This window comes from Homo sapiens, chromosome 8 (genome assembly GCF_000001405.40).
Source record: "Homo sapiens chromosome 8, GRCh38.p14 Primary Assembly".
NCBI classification, from domain to species: Eukaryota; Metazoa; Chordata; class Mammalia; order Primates; family Hominidae; genus Homo; species Homo sapiens.
Window position 1 is genome coordinate 86465698 of NC_000008.11, and position 22844 is coordinate 86488541.

At 35.4% G+C, this 22844-nt stretch overlaps 2 protein-coding genes and 1 pseudogene across 46 annotated transcripts in view; 1 reads left to right on the forward strand and 2 right to left on the reverse strand.

The window, feature by feature from the left end:
• WWP1 (WW domain containing E3 ubiquitin protein ligase 1) overlaps positions 1–2806 on the forward strand; it is a 125957-nt gene extending 123151 nt beyond the window's left edge. For all 9 annotated transcript variants that reach the window (NM_007013.4, XM_024447056.2, XM_005250761.5 and 6 more), the window contains one exon: positions 1097–2806. In NM_007013.4, the coding sequence (NP_008944.1) occupies positions 1097–1196 (100 nt within the window). In that variant the 3' untranslated portion in view covers positions 1197–2806. The remainder of the gene's footprint in view (positions 1–1096) is intronic.
• RMDN1 (regulator of microtubule dynamics 1) overlaps positions 2569–22844 on the reverse strand; it is a 46092-nt gene continuing 25816 nt past the window's right edge. For 3 of the 37 annotated variants that reach the window (NM_001317807.2, XM_047421835.1, XM_017013519.2), the window contains exons 4-10: positions 20787–20946; positions 19175–19264; positions 14580–14635; positions 13226–13313; positions 11597–11627; positions 9123–9217; positions 6652–6782 (exon numbers count right to left, since the gene is read on the reverse strand). In NM_001317807.2, the coding sequence (NP_001304736.1) occupies positions 6759–6782; positions 9123–9217; positions 11597–11627; positions 13226–13313; positions 14580–14635; positions 19175–19264; positions 20787–20946 (544 nt within the window). In that variant the 3' untranslated portion in view covers positions 6652–6758. Of the gene's footprint in view, positions 3011–3726; positions 4714–6651; positions 8662–9122; positions 9257–9696; positions 9900–11596; positions 11628–13225; positions 13314–14579; positions 14636–19174; positions 19265–20786; positions 20947–22844 lie in introns of those variants that run through there. The other 34 variants (XM_047421829.1, XM_047421828.1, XM_017013518.3 and 31 more) reach the window with 21 other exon arrangements.
• Positions 15888–17331, reverse strand: NTAN1P2 (N-terminal asparagine amidase pseudogene 2; annotated as a pseudogene).

Sequence of the window (22844 nt, forward strand, 5' to 3'; positions counted from 1 at the left end):
TGTAAGAGAACAGAAAGTGACTGGTTGTCTTGTATAGGAAGTATTAAAAAATAATTTTTTTTTCTGACCTTGTTATCATACTCTACCTTGAAGTATAAAGGGGAGGGCAGTATATGGTCTGCTTAGTTGCTGCTATTAATATCTTTAACTTCATTTAAAATACAAAGAATACAGTCTTAGAACAGCACTGTTTTATTTAGATGCCTTGTTTCAAAGGCTCTTTCCTGACTCTGACATGGGAGGGTCAAGGGCACATGGAAAGTGGTGACAGTGGTAAGAAGGCACCTGGATAATCTCTAGAAACCTTCCACATGGGAAAATGAAGGTACAGAAGGGTTCTGACTTACTCAGGGCTATCTCACTAGTCACTGCTACTGTAGGGACCAAAACCCTGAACACCCGAATCCTAATCTAGCTACTCAGTGCTGTACCTCACAAAACGAAATGTTATTCCACCTTTGTAAACTGAAAAATAATAGTTATTTTAAGCATTTTTTAGTATTTTAAAATTTTTATCAGTTAATACCAGAATGGAATTGAGTATGGCAAGATTGAAAAAGTGTCATTTTAGAAGAGTTTATATATGTGGTTAGATTATTTGAAAAGACAAAGAAACATATATATTTGTTAATTGACTGTCTCTACCCCAGAATGTAAATTCCATGAAGACAGGGATTTTAGTTTTCTTCACTGTATCACTAGCTTATCAGTTATATAAAAAATTCTCGGTAAATGACTGATGAATGAGTGACTGAGTGGATGAAAGAAATGGACTCTTATCCTAAGAGAAGTTAAGAGGACTCATGACACATGTAACAGGAATAGTAAAAAGAAAATGGATTTTTTTTTTTTTTTAAATTTGTCTTTATCCATATTGCTACACTTATTATTTGTAATTCCATTTTCCTCTTGGAGATGTTAAAATAGTTTTTATATGTAAGTCTTAAATTTAGATTACTCTAAATACTTCTGGCAAAATTTTAACATATATAGTATACATATATCCATTCAGCATTTCTATGTGCTTTGAAAAGTATTCTATTAGATTTTTTTCATTTTATTGAAAACATCTGATTTTGTTTTTGTTTCTGTTCAGTTTTAATCGCTTGGATCTACCACCATATAAGAGTTATGAACAACTAAAGGAAAAACTTCTTTTTGCAATAGAAGAGACAGAGGGATTTGGACAAGAATGAATGTGGCTTCTTATTTTGGAGGAGCTCTTGCATTTAAATACCCCAGCCAAGAAAAATTGCACAGATAGTGTATATAAGCTGTTCATTCTGTACAGTGAATTTTCCGAACCTCTCAAAGTATGTTTTCCGTTCTTCCACAGAAATATGCAAAACAGTTCATCCTTTTCTACTTTATTTATTGTTCCCTTGAAATGACTGACCAGGAAAAAGATCATCCTTAAATTTTGAAGCAAGTGAGAGACTTTATTAAAAATACATATATATCTATATAAACATATATGATAGTGGCTCTAGTTTTATAGAGCTCCAAGTGTATTAAACATGACAGCCATTCATTCATAAAGATCTGGATTTGCTTTACCTTGTTAATATTATCTAGGGGAAAAAGTGCAAATTGCTCCATGTTCTTCTCTCCCTTATGTAACATCTCCTGAGGGTGTTTAGTTGCATGGCTGTTCAGAAAGGTATTAAGGGCTTAGGCCAAATCTTACTTTGAGTATGTTAAAAAAAAAAAAATGCTGCTGGCTTTTCTGAAGACAGGTGCTTGAACTTGTCAGTTTGTTTTAAATAAATACAATAGTTGAAAATTTTTCTCTGTTACATCAGTAATATTGTTAAAGTAATGGATAGAACCATAACTTACACATGAAAGTCATATACTAGATCCAATACTATTTAGTTTATTATCGAAATTGGAAGGATTCATTGAGCAGCATAGAAGTTTGTTTACATGTTACTTTGAGATGCTAGGTATTTGTGGAATTAAAAAGAATCAGGCTCTTTTGTACTTTGTTTTTAAATCTGTGATGCTTTTCAAATTTAATTCATAATAAATTGATGCAATTTCATACTTAGGAACATACAAAAGGTAATGTAAACTCTGCCACTTTTTTGTGTTCAAAATTTTGGTTTTTATGAAGCCAGATGGATTGAAGAGTTACATAAGCATTTGAATGCTCTAATATAAGGCTAATGATTTTCTGTTAGTGTTTGAATATCTTCATTCCTCTCAAATTCATAACAGTTCTATTTAACTGAATTAAATAACCATATGAAAAATCTTTTGGGTCTCCCCCTTTTTACACAGATAATTATTTTTGTCATAACACTTTTTAATTGTTTTTCATCATAGGGGCCTTTGCTGAACTACAAAAATGTGTAACAAATTAAAATCTGATGTGAATGATATTAATGCTACTTTTAGCAAACTGGGCTTCCTAATACAAAATTTTAAATTTCCATTTGTATCATGCTTTTAATATGCACTGTAAATTTCATTAACTTAAACATTTTTTAATAGCCATGGAACTGACTTCTTAAAATCTGTTGCCTATAAATATTTCACTGCTAAGTACATACAGAAAAACAGTAATTATTGTTTTGCCAAAATTTTATTTTTCTACATATTGAGAGTGTGTTCTCCATTTTATTCAGAATTCATAGTAAAGACGAAAGAAAGGCAGAGATCTGCTTGGTTGAATAGACTCCTTTTCCAAATCCTTATTATGAACACTCTGGTAATTTTCAAGCCTAAAGAATTAAAAAAAAAATTCTAATGTATGTGACAGGTTATGTGATAGAGGGAAACTGGCCTTCAAAAAGGACTGCGTATACCATAAAAGAGTTAAGTATTAGAATTACAAATGGTACCACTGCTGTATAAATTTTGCCATGACAGAAGTTATTGAATATCATTCATTGTAGGTATGATTTAGCAGATTTGACTGAAGAAGGCAGCTTTCCAGTTCGTTTTCAGGGTGCTGGTCTCCCTCAAGTAAGAAATTACGATGCACTAGGTGAGGCTACACAGAACCCTACAAGAGACAAAACCAGCTTTGTTTTGGAGAATTCATCAGGGTCTTCCACTTTTCATACCCAATTATAGATATCCAAGACCTACAGGCAGAGCTCTTGATTTATCTACCCAGTAGCAGTCAGAAAAACTGTAGAAATATGGTCCCCCACTCACCTTCTCCCCTTCTTCCCTTCCCATTCCTGTTCTGTGCTGGACTAACCGAAAGAAATTAGGAGTGCAAGACTCTCTGTGCCCAAAACACAGTTCATGAGGAAACAGACAAGAGGGAGGCTCAGAGACAGGTTTATATTGCTACTTCATTTTGGTGACTCCCCCACCCCCACCACCAGTAAATGGCCCAGGGAATAGCTCACAGGCCCAATACAATTCTGTCTGTTAGATCAGTTAAGCAACACAATTCTATCTGTTAGATCAGTTTAGTTGTTTGTCTTCCAGGGAAAGCAGCTTACCAGTGTTTTTTTTGTTTGTTTGTCCCGCCCCCCCCATGTACTTCCCAAGTAGTTGAAAATGAAAAGGTTAACAAAACCTTTTCCCCTGATGACTTCTGTTAACTACCTAGCTCTTCCTACCCTGACAACTAAATAGGATGGTATGTGTCAACTGTATTTATTGCCATGCAGCTTTGCTTTTGGTAAATATGACCCTGACTGGTAAGTTGCATCTGGACTGGGAAATCTCCAGATACACGACAGAAAGCCACAGCTTTGGGCATACCTGAGTGGAAAACTCTTGTAACTGTATGTCCTTTAAGGAGGACCGTGAGCTGTCACCTGGGGAGATACCATTTCATAGATTGCTGTTAGAAGACCGTCTTCTGAGAGGAGGTTCAAAATTGTCCTGCTGGTGAGCTGTGTGGTTCCTGTCCTATAGCCTTCTGAGTAGACTGGTGCCAAATACAGCCTATTGTAGACTTATTAAGTCTGAATGTTTGGTTGAACCTAAGATGATGTGGTGGATGTTGCAGAAGTAAAAATCTTCCTCTGTTGAAATAATACACAACTAAAAGTTCTCCTGTAACACTCAGTTGGCCTTAAAAGCCAAGCTTTAGGTCAACTGAGGATTTGATCTAAGTCCAAAAGTGACATCTCCTATATTCCAAAATTTCTCTCCTCAATTCTCAACCAAGAACAAAATCAGAGATAATAGTAGTTGTATTTACTGGTATTCATGGTAAATCCTTTACATAAATTATTCTCTTGATCCTTACAATTCCATGAAATTGGTGGGGTTGTCTTTAATGATGCTTATTTTATACATGAGGAAAGTGAGTATGAGAGAAGCCATTTTTACAACACCCACAGCTAGTACACAGCCCATGATTAAAAACTCAGTTGAGATAACTTGGCCATCAAGAAATTGAGAGCTTTTAGGTTCTTATAGAATCACGGCCATTTTCCAAAATCAGTATTCTACTCATATCCTCAAAAGGAAGGAAGGAAACATCTATAATGGAGAGATATAGCCTATGTATGTAATAACACTTAGAACACAGAGTACTACCAACTTACTTTGATATACATGTACGTGGGGAAATAAGCATCTCAATCCAGCAGTCAGCTCTGGAATCCACACAAGAACAATCAGGTGGGGGCTGCACGGGAAGGAGAATGTAAGGGATTCCTGGGGTTTGTTCTCAGTAATGGGTCTCACCCTTAGTGGGGAAACGTCACGGACCAATGTGACACGTGGGGAATCAGGCTCCTGGGAAGTCAAATGGAAGAGACTTAGTGCACAGAATCAGAATCTTGGGAAGGCACCATGTCTTGCAGAAGAAACCTAACCCTCAGAGAGTAAAGGGGAAAAATGAAGATAAAAGGACCCAGGAGCCACACTCCTGGGCATGTATCCCAGAGAGATAAAATCTATGTAGACATAAAAACCTGCATATAATGCTCATAGCAGCTTTATTTGTAATAGCTAAAAATCAGGAATAACCTAAATGCCCCTCAGCATATGGTTGATATGGTATGCCCATAAAATGAAATACTAGTCAACTGTAAAAAGAAACAAACTATTGATAGAACTTAGGTCTCAAGGGAATTATGTTGAGTGAAAAAAAGTATCACAGGGTCTCACTGTATGATTCCATTTGTATAACATTGTTGAAATAACAAAATTATGGAGAACAGATTAGTGCTGTCAGAGTTAGGGATGGGTGGGGGAGAGGAGGAGGTAGATGGGTGTGACTGTAAAGGGACAGCACTGGGGATCTTTGTGATGACGGAACAGGTCTGTATCTTGATTATGGTGGCAGTTACCAAAAATCTACATGTGATAGAATTGCATACAACTATACACACAAGAGCATTTAAAAGTGGTAAAATTTAAATATAAGGTCTGTGGTCTGTACCAATGTCAGTTTCCAGGTTTTGCTATTGTACTACAGGTTATATGAGATGTTAGCACTGGGATAGGCTGAGAGAAAGGTACACAGGATCTTTTTTTTTTTTTTTTCAATTTGTGAATCTATGATTTTTTGAAAGTAAAAATATTTTTTAAAGTTCTAATAAGGAATCAGGAGGTAAGACCTCCATAAAAAGCTTTATTATTGAATGATACCTGATCTCACAAAAAACAAACAACTAAGCAGAAAATATTCTTGAACTAACCCAGACCCTTTCTTCCCATTTGATGACCTAGTATTGCTGGTAACTCAACATAAAATTACATCCCTAGGGAAAAAAAATAAAGTCACTCTAAAGAGAAATTGAAAATGAGAAAAAGGAGAGTAAACTTTAACACAATATGCTAATATGAATTAAATTATTAGATATTTAAAAAATCTGAAATAGCAACTTAAAAACTCAGAACTGGACAAACAAAATGCAGATGTGAATGACTGGCTAAAATCAGGAAAAAAATTCGGAGAAAAAGACAAACACATATCAGATGTGAAGGCAATTATAAAGTATCTAAGGAAGAAGAGATACAACCAAATGTAAAATAAGGGATATGGAAGATATAAATGAAAAGAGCCAAGAAAATGAAACAAAAAGGCTAAAAGAAAAATCAGTAAGTGATAAATGTGAAAGTCAGGCAAAGATCTAATAGAACTAATTTGAGTCCTGGAAATAAGTTGGAACAGCGGTTCTCAAAGTGTGGTCAATTAGACCAATCTGGAATGCGAGAGAATCTATGACAACCGGACTGGCCTATTCAAAAAGTCAATGTTGCAAGAAGAAAAAGATGGGGAACTGTTGTGGATGGAAAGATTAGCAACAAATCAAATGCAATGTATAATCTTTGGATCCTGATTTTAGAAAGCATGAGACATCTTGGGGACATTTGAGAAAATTTGAATATGGGTAGATATTAGATGATGTTAGAGAACTGTTAACTTCTCCAGTTGTGATAATGGTTTTGTGTTTGTTTAGGAAGATGTCTTTATTCTGAGAAAATGCATGCTGACACATTTGGGGTGAACTATTATGATGCTTGCAATCAGTTTCAAAAGGTTTAGAAATGTATGTGTCTATACACACACAAACACACATGTATAAATACAGGTTGAACATCCCTATTTCCAAAAATCTGAAACCTGAAATTCGTGCTCCATAATTCAAAACTTTCTGAGCACCAAAATGATGCTACAGGTAGAAAATTCCACATCTGACCTCACATAACAGGTCACAGTCAAAATGCAGGTGCACAACACAGTTTATTCGGTCTCCCTAAAGGAAAAAACCCATTTTAAAAAGCCATCCAGCAGAATGCCACATCCCTAGAAAGACCCACTTCCTGGCCCTTCAGCTGCTTCTGTTTCTCTTCACCTACAAAAATAAAATTACAGTATACAATAACCTTTTAAAATACAGCATCATTAAGTGGGAAACTGAAAGCCTGCCATTGTTGTTGCCGTTTAACAGCTGATACAGGTTTCTGGTGATGCTACTGTTGCCTAGCTACCCTGACCACATTATTTTTTCACTGTATCAGTGGTGTGTCATATTTTTTTTTTTGCCATCCTTGTTCCTGTGCGAGTTATGTCATATTTTTTACTGTTAAGTACTTATGCATGAATAAGTATAAGAAAATAACTGCTTATTGGTAGCATATACATTCAGTCAGGAATGATGGTGACATCAACCAACCACAAATTACCCACATGAGTGGCTGAGATAATGACACCTTTGCTTTCTGATGGTTCAAGGTATGCAAACTTGGTCTCAATGCACAAAATTATTAAAAATAATGTTATATAAAGTTACCTTCAAGCTATGTGCATAAGGTATATATGAAACAAGTGAATTTGTGTTTAAACTTGGGTCCCATCTCCAAGATATCTTATTGTGTGTATGCAGGTATTCCAAAATTTGGAAAAACATCCCAAATCCAAGATGCTTCTACTAGTCCCAAGTATTTCAGATAAGGGATACACAACCTATATAGCAAAATCACTGAATCTAAGAGATGGGTATACAAAGATCACTACTTTCAGTTTTCCTTTTTGTTTGAAAATGTACATGACAAACATATCCATACAGTTCATTGTAACATTACAATTCCCAAATCCTTTGGGAAAAATCCACCTACACACACAGTCTGTCTTTATCTAAGTGGATTCAAGATGCTCCTTTTTACAAAACTTAAAAAGATTTTGCAGTGGTGGCACTCCAGCCTCAAGTGAGTAGCATAGTCCTGCCTATTTAAAAACATCTTAGTATTCCATTTCACTCTTAAGTTTTGTGTTCCTTCCATTCCATTAGGGAATAGAACTTTGCATCTGATGACAAATTCAGTTTACCATGAGACTACACCACATTTAAAGTAAACTGGCCAGGTGCGGTGGCTCACGCCTGTAATCCCAGCAATTTGGGAGGCCAAGGCGGGCAGATCACTTGAGGCCAGGAGTTTGAGACCAGCCTAGCCAACATGGCAAAACCCCATCTCTACCAAAAATACAAAAGTTAGCCGAGTGTGGTGGTACAACCCTGTAATCCCAGCCACTCAGGAGGCTAAGGCAGGAGAATCACTTGAACCCGGGAGGCGGAGGCTGCAGTGGGCCGAGATTGTGCCACTGCACACCAGCCTGGGAAACAAAGTGAGACTCTGTCTCAAAAAAATAAAAAAGGAAACTACTCCATTTTTAGTCATCTCCTTACTTAGTTCTTTACTTACACAGGTTAGCTCCAAGATATATCATTTAACTACTTTATGTCAGGAACCCACAACATCCTAACCACTGTCACCACACCTTCTCTTCAAGATTTCAACTTAGAATCAATCCAATTTGAAAATCCATCCCCCTGTATATCCCCTATAGATCCATTTCCCCTCCTCTACAAATATTTCTTTGCTTGATCTCCCATCCCAATGTGATCAATCCTTAGAAATCTCATACCATTTTGCATTGCTGGTATCCAGGATGCAAAATAATCTCTTTGCCTGAGCCATGGAGATTTATTTCTACCACTCTTATGGCGATTATTTATTTTACCCTATTATTTGTGAAGAAGCCTAGAATATTTTATATTTACACGGTTAAATGGTCACAACATTTAAAAAGCCGTAGAACAGTTATAGTTCATATATTAAGTTTAGAATTAAAAGAAAAGGCAATGTTTATTAGCTATTTCATAAATCTTCTCTGAAAAGTTCTCAATTCTTCTCACTGAAACTTGTAAGCAACTGAGCAGCTTCTGTCTGTATCTAAAATGGAAAAATACATGTTATAAGTAAACAGGAGAGCTAAGAGACTAACTTGTGAAATTTAAGTTTATAAAGTGGGGTTTCTAAGAGTTTCCAAAAACCAGATAGGACATTATAACAATAAAATGTCTTGACAGTGACCAGATGAGACTCTCAGCTCTTCCACTTTAGTACACATCCCATGACTTTTATGTTTTAGAAATGTTAACTCGATCTGCCATGTGTGTCAAACAGGAATAATTCTGCATTGTAGCAGGCAACCCGTAACATCCACCTGGTGATAGTAACTAAATTATTTCCTATATAGAAATATAAATGTCAATCAATTTACACTTGAAATGAACACACTTGTTTTCAACAATATTATGCATTTAGAAAATTATGCTTTTAAAGAAGTTCTTAATTCACCATTTAATAGTGCCTCAAAACCTTTCTGCCTTACTTTATGGGAGATGTTTTACCTGTTTATCCTCCTCTGTGTGTGCTGGATAGTCCTTGGCTTTCATTAGCCAGAAAGCAGCAAGCTTTTTGTTGTGTAGTTTCAAGTATGTCTTTCCTAAAAGAAGTAAGTTTTTGCTGTAGAAGTTTGGATCCACTGCACATAAGAAAGAAAAAATGATCTCAGAGGAAACAGTGTTGCTTTTATTTTTAAAGGTTTGTTTCTGAGGTCTAAATTTCAATAAATTTGTGTGGTCAATAAGTGATTAGACTAATGGGAATTCTCTTTTGTTCAACTGTTTATATCTCAAACAAATATTTGTAAAATAATAATTACCAATGAATAAACATCTACAAATGTGCTAGGCACTGCATTATACACATTTCTCATTTTCACAACTTTGTAAGTAGGTATCTCCATTTTATAGATGAGAAGCTGAAGCTCCCGATAGAATGTATGCTATTTGAGGACAGCAATACTCTTTTTAATCTCTTTAGTTCCCTATGGTACCCCACGTGCCTACAACAGTGTGTGAAACATAACATACATTCAGTGTACATCGGCTGAATAAGTGAATGAAATGATGATGACATATATATATTTGATCAACATTTACTGGATGTCAGCTATACTTAAACATAGAGGATGAAACAAAACCTCTGTTTTTTTCAACTTTATAATGAAGAGAGAAACATGAACACAACTAAATGTAATATAAAAATGAAAGGAATGCTTTACTAGATATACAAACTTTGAACTGCTACAAGAAACCAAAAAAAAAAGTGGAGAACATTCTTGGCTGAAAGAAAAGCATAAACAGAAAGCCTATGAATGAAAACATGGAATTATCTCACCAACTTAATTCTTCACAAAGTGTCCCCCTAACAATCTGAGATCCTCTGTATTCAAAGCATACTTTTTCCTGTATACAATTAATGATTAACTCCATTTGCTCCTTAACCAAAATTGTTTTACTTCTTTTATTTGAGCAGATTTGTGTGATGCCATGTTGATATACTTAAGTTGTCCTGGGGTTAAATATATTCGTATATTCAATCATCCGATCATTCATCTATTTACTCAGTCATTCAACAGATTTGCCAAGCATTGTGCCAAGTAATGAGTGTGCAATTGTGAGCCAGAAAAGACAAAGTCCACATCTTCTCAGAATGTACAGTCTTACACATGTAAATGTTCATAGTATTGAGTGATAAGTATCACTGGAAAAATAAAAGATACTAAGGGCATCAGAGGAGCCTCTGAACTGAATATAGGCCAGAAAGAAATAAGGTAAGGTCACTCAAGAATGACTGAAGTTACCAGGGATTATTTTAGCTCCATGAGGGTAGGACCATGTTTTTCTCAACACCCCCAACCCTTAAGTCTCTAAGGTCCTATATTTTTACTTTGTAATTAACTTTTAAATCTGTTAAAAAAAGTCATCCCTAGATTCATATTCATGATATGTGAAACAGTATGATCAAGAGAGGGTATCAGTGAAGGTAATAATGAATAAATCAGAATTGATGAATTACAGAGATAAAACATTCAGATAAAATTCTGTAGAAGATAACTGTTATCATGAAATGAACAAGTCCATTATGTGTGGGATCTCAAATTTAATAAACATGGTATGTCTTCTCCTGATTAAGTTTTATAGAATATATTTCAATGGTTTTTATGGTCTATTTGGTATCATATGCTTATGTCTCTTATCTCCCCCACTTGGTGTATGAATATTAAAAAGGATAAATTTAGGATGGGCTGGTGGCAGTTTCATAGGACTAGTCATTTTTTCAAAACAAACATAACCCGAAACTCTTTTTCACAATATCTGCAATAGAACTAGCCTGGCTGAATAGCAGAATTCCCATTTAAATGCCTCTAATGAGATGCATAATCTTTTTTTGTTTTTTTCAGACAAGTCTCACTCTGTGGCCCAGGCTGTAGTGCAGTGGTGCAATCACAGCTCATTGTAGCCTGGAACTCCTGGGCTCAAGTGACCTTCCTGCCTCAGCCTCCTGAGTAGCTGGGACTACAGGTGTGTGCTACCACACCTGGCTAATTTTTATTTTTATTTTTTGGTAGAGATGAGGTCTCGCTATGTTGCCCAGGCTGGTCTCAAACTCCTGGGTTCAAGTGATCCTTCTGCCTTGGCCTTCCAAAGTGCTGGGATTACAAGTGTTAGCCACCACATCTGGCCAATATGTGCAGTCTTGAATAAGACAATTACCATGTCAGAGACTGCTCTCACAAAGGAAGCAGAATTACATCAAATGATAGACATTCCAGAACTGCAGCTCTAAGTTCAATAGCAGCCTATTTCTCATTCAGGTGATCTTTACTGAATAAAGACTTTAAAAATTGTTTTACAGTATCTAGCACAAAAATAAGTATAACAGAATAAACAACTGCTTTAGACATTGCTATTATAGTATATATTCAGCATTCATACAATTTTAACTATATTAATATGTGTAATCAAAAATACCTTACCTTGTTCTGCCCTGTGAAAGTAGCCTAAGGCCTGTCAAAAACACAAAGAGCCCAAACATAATAAAAAAGATTAAAGAAGACAATATTAAAAAAGCATTGTCTCAAAGATCTACTGCTATATTATATTTAAGTCAGGAAGTAAATCATCTTAAAATAATGGTCACTTCTTCAACAGTGAGAGTTAACACCCAAAGTGAACGTAACACTTCAATCATCAAGATTACAATATATGGACTACTTCTGGTAATAACTTGGTTGCTGTTTAGAACTTGTACCAAACTAACATCATGTGCAGAAAGGAAAGAACATTATCACGTGTAACTCAGCTATTTTGACAGTTCTCTTAAATCATAACTAGTGATTTTTAGTAAAAACAAAATATAATCAAAAGCTGAATTTATTCGTTGTACTAGTGAATTTTTAAGAGTCCATTATTATTGAAATTCCTACATACAATGTTAAGTCTGAAACTCTTTTTGTCCTACTTAAGCTACTGTTTTTGTAATGCATTCTCTAATGACATTTGATTTCTAGAAACATAACTAATTTGATAAAGTAGAGCTGACTATATTTTTTGTCCTTAAAATGACCTGTCTTAAAAAAAAAAAAAAAGAACCAGGTCTCACTCTGTTGCCCAGGCTGGAATGCTGTAGCGCAATCACTGTTTATTGCAGCCTTGACCTCCCAGGCTCAAGTGATCCTTCTCCCTCAGCTTAGCTGAGTGACTGGGACTACAGGCACAGGCCACCACACCTGGCTAATTTTTGTATTTTTTTTGCAGAGGTTTTGCCACGTTGCCCAGGCTGGTCTCAAACTCCCAGGCTCAACTGATCCACCAACCTTGGCCTTCCAAAATGCTGGCATTACAGGCATGAGCCACCGTGTCCAGCAAATGGGCATTATTTTAATAATACCATTATAAAATATTGGTGCATTATTTTAATAATATTTCTCAACTGTGTGTAAAGAATACAACTAAGTATTTTTTACATCAATTTCTACACTATAGCTTCCCAGAAAGAAAAAAAAGCTCCTTGTTATAATGTAAATAATACAAGTACAGCTTTTTCGATTGCCTGTTTTCTTACTCTGAAAAGCTTGTGATGAGTAAACCCAAAGTTTAACCAGAAATTCCTCTCAAATCTTATTTTTAACAAGAAAAGCAAAAGGCCTTGAAAATATGAGAGAATATGAACCTTTCATATGCTTTTTAAAATAGAAGTTATAATGAGTGTTCTTCTTTTATCAACTTAAGCATCTGCTTTACTTTTCTGTTATTGTGTGTAATACAGCTAAAACATGCTGGGTAACAGATGCTGTATTTCTTGTTCTATTTTATGACTTCAATATAGTTTAGATTTCAAACAGAAAATGAAGGTAGATTTTAGCCACGAGCCATTTTAGATGACAGTATTCCAGAATTACCAGCCACTCACCTAACGGGGAAAAAGAAAACCACTCACCAGTCAAGGATAATAAGTGTTAAGCCTTGTGATAACACAGTTGAATTGGATCATTAGAAATTGCTCAAGTCCCTCACTGAATCAGAGCTCCACATGTGTGAACACATGGTAGAATGGCGCTGTGGTTAAGAAATCCGTACTAACTTAACAAAGGACATCATACTACCTTCTCATAGGTGGAACTAGGAGGAGTTGCAAACAGCATTTTAGCAATTCTTCTTTGATACCAAGGCATTTCGGCAAATGTATAGCACCTACAGGGAAATAAAACAATTTTATACATTCAAATTGTACCTTCTTTTCTCTTAAAGTTAACTAAGCATCTTAATACTATAAAAGGAATCTTCTACTGTATGTTTAAACAACTTGTGCTTTACATGATATCTACTAGGTAATCCAGAGATTGACATAGTGATCCTTTAGCTGGGGGGTGTATTTTGTGATTAAATATAAATAGTAAGCAGTCATACTAATAACAGTAATATAATATACATCTACCACTGAGTGCATTGTGCCAGGTAGTGGGTTGATTCTCTCATTTATTCCTTGTAACAATTATATATGAGATAGGATAATTTCCCCTATTTTTCTTATAAGAAAAACTCAGAGAAGTTAAACCTTACACAAGAAAAATGACAAAGCTAAACATCAAATGTATAAATAACAGCAACCAACAACTTAAATCTATTTTTAAAGCAGCAAAGCAAATGATTAACCTCCAAAGATCTTTACAACTTTCAGAAATAAGTAGGAAAGAAAGTGTTGCATCTTTGACTAGGGTCTGAAGTCCTTAAGGCAGAAATTGCTATTTCATTTGGGTTTGCTTACTAGCATCTGACTTAGTGACTGCCCCTCAATTATCATTAATCCTCAGTGAATGAGTGTTAGCTTAATATGTCCTTTATCCTGAAGAATATATTTCTCTTTTAAAAGAGTTTGATACAGGACAGTTTACACTGGTACCCTTCTTAGATGGCAGTAAATATTCAGCTCTGCAGGCTATACTCAAAAGAGTGTCCCATCTATCTCAAAACAGACTCTTAAACCATCAAGTACGTAACACTTTGATAAAGCCTCATACCAGCAAAATAATAATCTACAGTGGACATAAGATCACATAAAAATAGAAAGATACTGAAAATCAGATTATATGGTTCCTCAGATTAATCAAGACTGTATCTGACACACTTTGAAGATACAAAGACCCTCTTGGGGCATTCTACTGTTTTACTATAGTTACATTAATCTAATTTCATTTAGCATGGTAAATAAGAATAGTCTTTTCAGTCTGTACATGTTTCTAAATGACCTGAATAACAATGTTTAACATGGTCATAATCAAATTTAGTATGTTCTAACAATATATATACAAGGGCTAGTTAATGGATTTAGCACTCTAAGCTCTGTCAGATAATATTTTAAAATATTTAATATCTTTTATATATGCAAAAGAAGATATTTATACATACTACAAAATATCACACTAAATACTACTGAAATATTTAAAGAAATTTTCTTACCAAATACCCATAAGGTGAATTGAAGTAGCATCTTTAGGGTTCAGTTCAATTGCTTTCTAACAAGAAATGAGAAAAATAAATCATATTTGTTTTCTAAACACCAATAAGTGCTTTACTGTGTTTGCTGAAGAAGCCATGATTTTTTAAAAAATGCAACTGTGTGTTTCAGTTCTCCCATTATAATATCAACTTTCTTCCTCCTGATTCTTTGATTAAATTCATTTCAAAACACTATTAATGACTTATACTAATGTTACTATTTTGTATGGTTCAGACATTTATAGTAAGTGTCTATCAAGATGAGAAAAAACATGAAATACATAAATGGATTAATTTTGCAAATTAATCTTGCAAATTAATCTATAGCTCTTAATGTTTCTTCCAAATTAAAGGAAAAATGGATAAGGAAGTACTTTCTTGGCAAACTGTAGATGAATACTGAATAAAAGTCATTCTTTCCTAAAGAAGAAAAGTGCATTTTAGTTTTTTAGAAAAAATGTAATTTTAGAAAGTCTCTTCTATGCAGATTTTAGAAAGTCTTTTCTATTTTTAGAAAGTCTTCTTGTATGCAGATTTTGTTCAACTTCCCCATCTGTACTTACCAAAGGAAAAATAAACAGTTTATAGAATATTAATAGAATAATTATGTGCAATGTAAAATATGTTGAATCTCCCTAATTTATATTTACTATGTGAATATAAACTACAGAATAAAGAAACTGTTCCTCCTTTTATCCATTATTTTGTTGAAAACAACTAAAGAAATCTTACAGATTAATGTTCATATTAAAAGGACTCTTTTTGAAAAAATTAAGATTTCCTAGTTTATGCTTTTCTATAAACCCACACTTTTGCTTTCAGTTTAGTAATGTGTGAGGTACACATTTTCAAATATTTGTAATGGTTAAGAGCATGGTCTCTGAAACCAGACTGCCAGGATTCAAGTCACAGCTTAATGACCTTGAACTGGTTGCAAGATCTATATTCTTACCACAACTGAGTTTTTTCTCTTTTATGGAAAAGTCATGTACTTAACTCATAAGGTTGTGGTAAAAAATAAATAAGTATCTTAACATGTTTATATGCAACTTATGCTCTAAGCAACCTTTCTCAATTGGGAGTTCCACTAAAAATTAAGCCCTACAAAAAAATTGTGTAAGTAACTATTTTTTTCTATTTCCTAAGAATGATACAGAAATACTGTAGTCCCATTCTAGATGCATAGGAAGGAAGTTAATTCATCACAATGGATGCCTGGGGGGATCAGGGTTTAATTAATTTTCCTTTTTTTTTTTTTTTTTTTTTGCCTTTGCCAAAATAAGGTTTTATTTTGAAAGTCATTTGAAAAACACTGAGGAAGGAAGGAGAAGACCTAAGACCCAATGGATGTAGGTTCCAAATTTGGATTCTTGCTGGCCCCACCAATGGTCTCTGTCAGGCCAAGAAGGTTCTGCTTTCTTTGGTAATTCCTATTTTTTTAGCTTCCTGGAGAAGAGATCTTTTCCCACAAGCCATCTTCATTTTTTTTGTAGAGTAGGGCTTTATTTCCAGGAAACAGTGTGTTAGTTGGAGCAGTATTTTTTTTTAAAAACATCAAGGTAGATCTAATATGTTCAACAAAGTGGGGTGGCTCGGCCAGACACGAAGTGGAAAGATTCTCTAGTATTTGCTTGTCATCTTGCTGCAAGCAGAAATCCACATGTGGAAATGGTGTCCAGGAGTACAGTCCTATACGAAGTTGTTCTGTCTTTGCATCGTAAATGCTAATCACTGGTCCTCCTGCTAAAGCTCACGCGGCACGCAGCTGCTCCTCTGGACCTCGATCTTGAAAGGAGGCTCTGTAGGCCAGGCACGGTGGCTTATGCCTGTAATCTCAGCATTTTGGGAGGCTGAGGTGGGCAGATCACTTGAGGTCAGGAGTTTGAGACCAGCCTGGCCAACATGGTGAAACGCTGTCTCTACTAAAAATATAAAAATTAGCCAGGTGTGGCAGTGGGCGCCTGTAATCCCAGCTACTTGGGAGGCTGAGGCAGGAGAATCACTTGAACCCTGGAAGCAGAGGCTGCAGTAAGCCGAGATCACACCACTGCACCCCAGCCTGGGCAACAGAGGAGACTCTGTCTCAAACAAAAAAAAGAAAGGAGGCTCTGTAAATCTTTGCAGTCTTAAGTTGACAGCAATGCCATATATTATTAGAAAGTGTTATTCGTTTTCTTCCTGGTCATTTAATTCTGTCACACATAATCATAGTATCACTAAGTGAATGTCATCTTCTTGCCTGTCAAATTCACTAAGAAGTTAATGAGTGAGTTTTTGTGACAACTGCCTCCCACATCACTGAAGCCTCCCACGAGGTATACTTCCAGGCTTCCACATTGAGCGCAGTCGGAAAAAGACTTTATGGAGTTCATGATCAAGGGGACCCCAGCTTTGGTGTCGGTTCCATCACAATGTGTCAAGCAGGTGGCGCCATAACCTGTGTGCAACAGGACCCCAATGTGACAAGTAGTGGCATTATCAGAACCCAAAATGGAGACGGAGCCATCCTTTGGGGAGGTCACTGCGAGCTCTCTTTGCTGAACATACAGAAGGCCCTGGGGTCCCAGTTGTTGAACAGACTGACCTCTGATACATCTGGCTGTTTCCTCCAGAGGCAGGTGGGCTCGGACGAGGTCCCCGGCGGACTGTGGCAGCCGCACTCGCTGCCCCTCGATGAGCAGTGGCATCGTGGAGGCAGCCGCCCAGGCCAGGGTTTAATTTTCTTATGAGAAGGGTTGAGAGGGGTACTTTCAAGCAAACTCTTTTATAATCAATCCTTCCTGCCACTGGTCTTTCAAAAATAATCCAAAGATGTTACCACTTTAGATATATAATGGAATTTGAAATGTAAGCAGTATAAATGATCTTTTTTATATGTAAATACTAAATATTGCCATTTAAAATATAAACATGTACATTTGAAAGCTTATATAAAACATTGTTTTTTATAATCTATAACCTTCACTGTTTTTTAAAAAAATGGAAAGTATACATTTGTGTATTTTCTACAGTTCTTCATTATTCCCTTTGGAAGTTATGTCATGTATTTCTACATCCTGAGGCACAGAGAAATTAAGCAATTTATCTAATGCCACTGAGAAAATTACTGTATTTCCCTGAATCTAAAATATCAAAAATGACACACCATTAGTTTATGTGCCACTAAGAAAGAAAGTATCACTGCCAACTACAATGTAAGGTTCCAGCAATTACATCATGTAATCTCATTTCAAGGATTTTAAACTGTGAAACAGGTAAATTGTTACATTATAAAATGTCAGTTATTATGTATATATTACTATCCATACCTGAACAAGAAAAGCTAGGTCTCTGGACTCCCAGTCATTCTTTTTCACTAGTTGTTATATAAACTAGGAATTGACACTAAACCATAAAATTATGAAAAACTATTTAAATAGCAAATTCAGCACTATCCCTATGTATGTTTCCATCATTTTTCCTTCCTATAATCTCAAAAGAGAAATAAATATGCTGGTATTTTTGTGGTAGTTTTTTTTTTTTTTTTTGAGACAATGAAGTTCATCCATGTTAAGAAATATACAGACTCCTATGCAATTCTTTGCACCTAACAGCTTACTATAAATAATTAACTTTAGGGGAAAATATTTTTAATAAAACACACATACAATATACACACAGATATCAATCTTAAATAGAATTATTACTACAAGGAGTGGTGTGTCAATTGTGTTAAAGACTGTTACACTGGACCACGCTTTCCATATTCAGGAACTTGTGTCAATGCTCCCCTCCCACAGAAACTGGGCTTGCCCTTGTGACTTGTTTAGATTAACAGGATATTACCAAGTGTGATGCAAGCAGAGGCTTGCTAGAACTTTGTACATTGGATCTTTTCCCATGGAACACTCATTCTTGGAAGCCGACTACCATGCTATAATGAAGGTTGAGCTAGACAACTAAGTGATAAAAAAACAAGTGAGGAGAAACTCTCATAGGTAAGAGGCCATCTTGGACACTGTAGTCTCAGCTGAGGGCCCAGGTGAATGCAGCTGTCTAAATGACCCCAGCTATACCAAGCAATGTAGAAGTGCCACTGCGCTCAGTTAACCCAAAGAATTGCAAGAAATAACAAACTGTCGGCTGGGCACAGTGGCTCACACCTATAATCCCAGCACTTTGAAAGGCCGAGGCAGGTGGATCACCTGATGTCAGGAGTTTGAGACCAGCCTGGCCAAAATGGTGAAACCACACCTCTACTAAAAACACAAAAATTAGCCAGATGTGGTGGTGTGCCCCTGTAATCCCAGCTACTCGGGAGGCTGAGGCAGGAAAATTGCTTGAACCCGGGAGGCGGAGGTTGTAGTGAGCTGAGATAGCACCATTGCACTCTAGCCCGGATGACAAGAGCGAAACTCCGTCTCAAAAAAAAAAAAAAAAAGAAATAACAAACTGTCATGGCTCTACTCCACTGTTATCATAGGTGGTTTGATATACAGCAATAGATAATGAAAACAAAAATCTATTCAGAAAAATATGACTTTTAAAATTCATGAATTTGAATAATTCATCAGTACCTCAAAATGCTCCTTGATGATATATGCATTTGCAATTTTAGCCTTGATGCCTTCATAATCTCCAACATCACTAAGGCAGATTGCATACCACTGAAAATTTAAAAAAGTGTAAGAACAATAATATTCTTAATATTCCATTCAATACAAGGTAAAACTGTATAATATTCTTCAATAGTCATTCTCATCCAACAAAAAGTTACTGAGCATAAAAACTGTATTAAATGTAATGGAATATATAAAGAGAAGTGGACATGGCCCTCTAGAAACTCAGGAATAGGGTTGGGCGCAGTGGCTCACGCCTGTAACAGTACTTTGGGAGGCCGAGGTGGATGGATCACCTGAGGTCAGGAGTTTGAGGCCCTGGCCAACATGGTGAAACCTTATCTCTACTAAAAATACAAAAATTAGCTGGGCATGGTAGCATGTGCCTGTAATCCCAGCTACTTGGGAGGCTGAGGCAGAAGAATCACTTGAACCCGGGAGATGGAGGTTGCAGTGAGCCAAGATCACACCACTGTACTCCAGCCTGGACAACAGAATGAGACTATGTCTAAAACAAAACAAAACAAAACAAAAAAACCTCAGGGATAGGACATGTTTATAGAGAACTATAATACAAGGTAGAAAGTGGTGAATTTTCCAAGAAAGTTACCAACACAATGAGATAATGGTTCATGTTTATGGTCTGAGTATCAATTTAGAAGAATATGTAATTGAATGTTTTATTTTCTCATTCTCTTTTCTTGGAGTTCCATCTACTCTCACATTGCATTGTTATAGTAAGAACAGCCACAATGTCAACTGTGACCTTGTCTCCACAGCCACAGTTGGACGGCAGACCCAAACTGAGATGACCTGAGTTTCTTTCCCAAGAAATGAATCTAAAATAGCCACACTTCAAAAACCCAGGTGCTGTGGAAAGTCACAAGACTTAGGATAAGGAGAAAAAAAATGTCTGCAATGAAAAAGATTTTCAGGTAACAGCAGAGTAGAGAAACAATTAATGAAGCCTCGGAGCAATCAAGCCAATTGTTTCCCAAGGTCCAACTTCACCCTGCCTTTGGGTTCTATGAAGTCCAACAATCCAGAAGGCTAATGACCACCTCGTCTCCCCGTACGATTTACTGAAAAACGTTGTTGTGAACCAACAAGAAATCCTGAAAGCAGCTAAGTTACATGTGAAAAGTCATTCTAGGTCTCAGTTGTCTAGCTGTTATATTCCTACCTCTAAATAAAACAGAAATATAACGTAAGGAAAATGAGAAAACATCTGTGAAGTGCTTATACTACTAAGAATATAGATATAGGTAATTCATGAAATTACTAAACTCCTGTTTAAAAATAAGCATTCACAAAAGTAATTTATCAAATACATATGAAGTTAGACCAAATGTTTACAAAAACAAAGACTTCTTTTTGAAAAACTTATAAAAATAACTATCTTCCCTACTTCTTTAAAATAGAGAAATTATCCTTAAGATATAAGATTGAATAAAAAGAAAAAAAAACTTAAAATAGAGAAATTGTTCTTCCAATGTAAATCAGAGATAATAGAAAAATATAGAAAATGTACCTCTCAGTACATGGTTAATAGCTTAGTTAAGCAACTCACCTTATGAGATGCAAAACTTGATTCATTTTTTTCTAGTGCTCTTTTTGCATACTCTAGGGCTTCATACACCAATAGCTTTTTCTCCTCTTCTGAGGTTCTGCTAAGCTGAGCTACATCACGTGATGCCCGTGCCAAACGCCACAGTAACTCTGCATCTTCACTAATTTGAAATAAAATATAAAACAACCATTTTAGCTCACATTTAAAAATTGTTAAGGGTTACATTACTAATGAATACATTATGGTCTTTCAGCTTAGGAAGCTAGCAACATGATATCAAAAGCCATTAGTAATAATGCTAAATTTATTATTTTCTTTAATATAAAACCTTTACTTGCTAAAATTTCCTATAAAAATGTCTAATATCCATAAATATTAACTTACCTCTAGTATCTAAAATACTTCTTTCAAAAATATCTTTGCATTCAAATTCTCTGAACATTTGCCCTACAAAACTCAACATATTAACTTGAGGTTTGGCCTCACTGGCACTGTGTTTCAAATAACTCACTCAGTAGTTCATACAGTATCATAAAATACATAAATTTTATAGACAGGGTCATGTTCTAAAAATACAAAACTGCTGAATCCCTAGTCTCAAATACAGCACCTGACACAAAATTGTTTTTGACAATTATTTGCTAATGAATGAATGGTTGAATATAATGTAATCTCAAAATAAATCCTATGTTTGAATACCATGCCATGATGCATGGGTTACTTCAAGTAAGAGCATTGGATTCTTTGAAGAACTGCCATTTCCATATAATGACATAAGAAATGGTTAATAAATTATTAACCACCACAACTGACAGAAATAATTGTAAAAATTAAATTCCGCCAGGCACAGTGGCTCACGCCTGTAATCCCAGGACTTTGGGAGGCCAAGGCGGGCAGATCACCTGAGGTCAGGAGTTCAAAACCAGCCTGATCAACATGTACTAAAAATACAAAATTAGCCGGGTGTGGTGGCACATGTCTGTAATCCCAGCTACTCGGGAGGCTGAGCCAGAAGAATCGCTTGAACCTGGAGGGTAGAGGTTGCAGTGAGCCAAGATTGCGCCATTGCACTCCAGCTTGGACAACAAGAGCAAAACTGTCTCAAAAAAATAAAATAAAATAAAATAAATAATAAATTCTTTTTTATTAAATGTTTGCCTTTAATCCTAACTTTATTTTTTTAACATAAAAAAAAATTTGAAGCTAAAGCTTCCTTTAATTAAGATAGTTATCATTCAATGAATATGGAGTAACTACCTTACAGCTTATTTTTCAAGTTATCAATGAAATGACAATAAAATGCCAAACCAGCCACCTTGAATTACTAAGGGAAGAATGGAGAAGAAAAGATCAATCCTGTAGATATTTAGAAAGTAAAATTGATGGGTCCTGGGGAGAAAACTGGTTTTGAAAATCTAAAAAAGGCAGATGAAAATGACTCAATATTTTTAGTTTAGGAGATGAGGTAGATTAGTGATCTAGAAATGCTATTTAGCCATATGACTTACTTCATAGGGTTGAGTCTTTCTCTCGCTCCACACTCCTCCCAAAAATGAGTACACACTGATATTCTACACTAAACATACAATCTAATAATAAAAATAGAAAAAGGGGGTATTTTTGGTTTCTCTGAAAGACTATCCTTCTAAAGTAATACACAGTTACCACTCAATGGTGGCATGCAACATCCTACATCTCAGTGAATTCATTTAATCTATACCAATAAAAAGTTACTTTAAAAGAAAAACAATGAGAAATATACAATATAGCTAGAAGGGATAAACATATATTCAATAACTATCTTGTATCATCTAAAGCAAAATGGAAAAATCAAAAAAAATTTCAACATTCCACTAAAGTAGTAACACCTTTTCTAAATCAATGAGATACATGCAGCATTTAACGTAAGAAACAAATAGTATATTATAAATTAAACTCTAAGAAATATTTTGAAGTAAAAACTACAATAATCAATTTTTAAAACCTCAAGCACTAAGGGTCATTTTAATTGTTAAATAACAAAAATTTTGAGGAAACCACAAGCCTAGGCCTATCCTA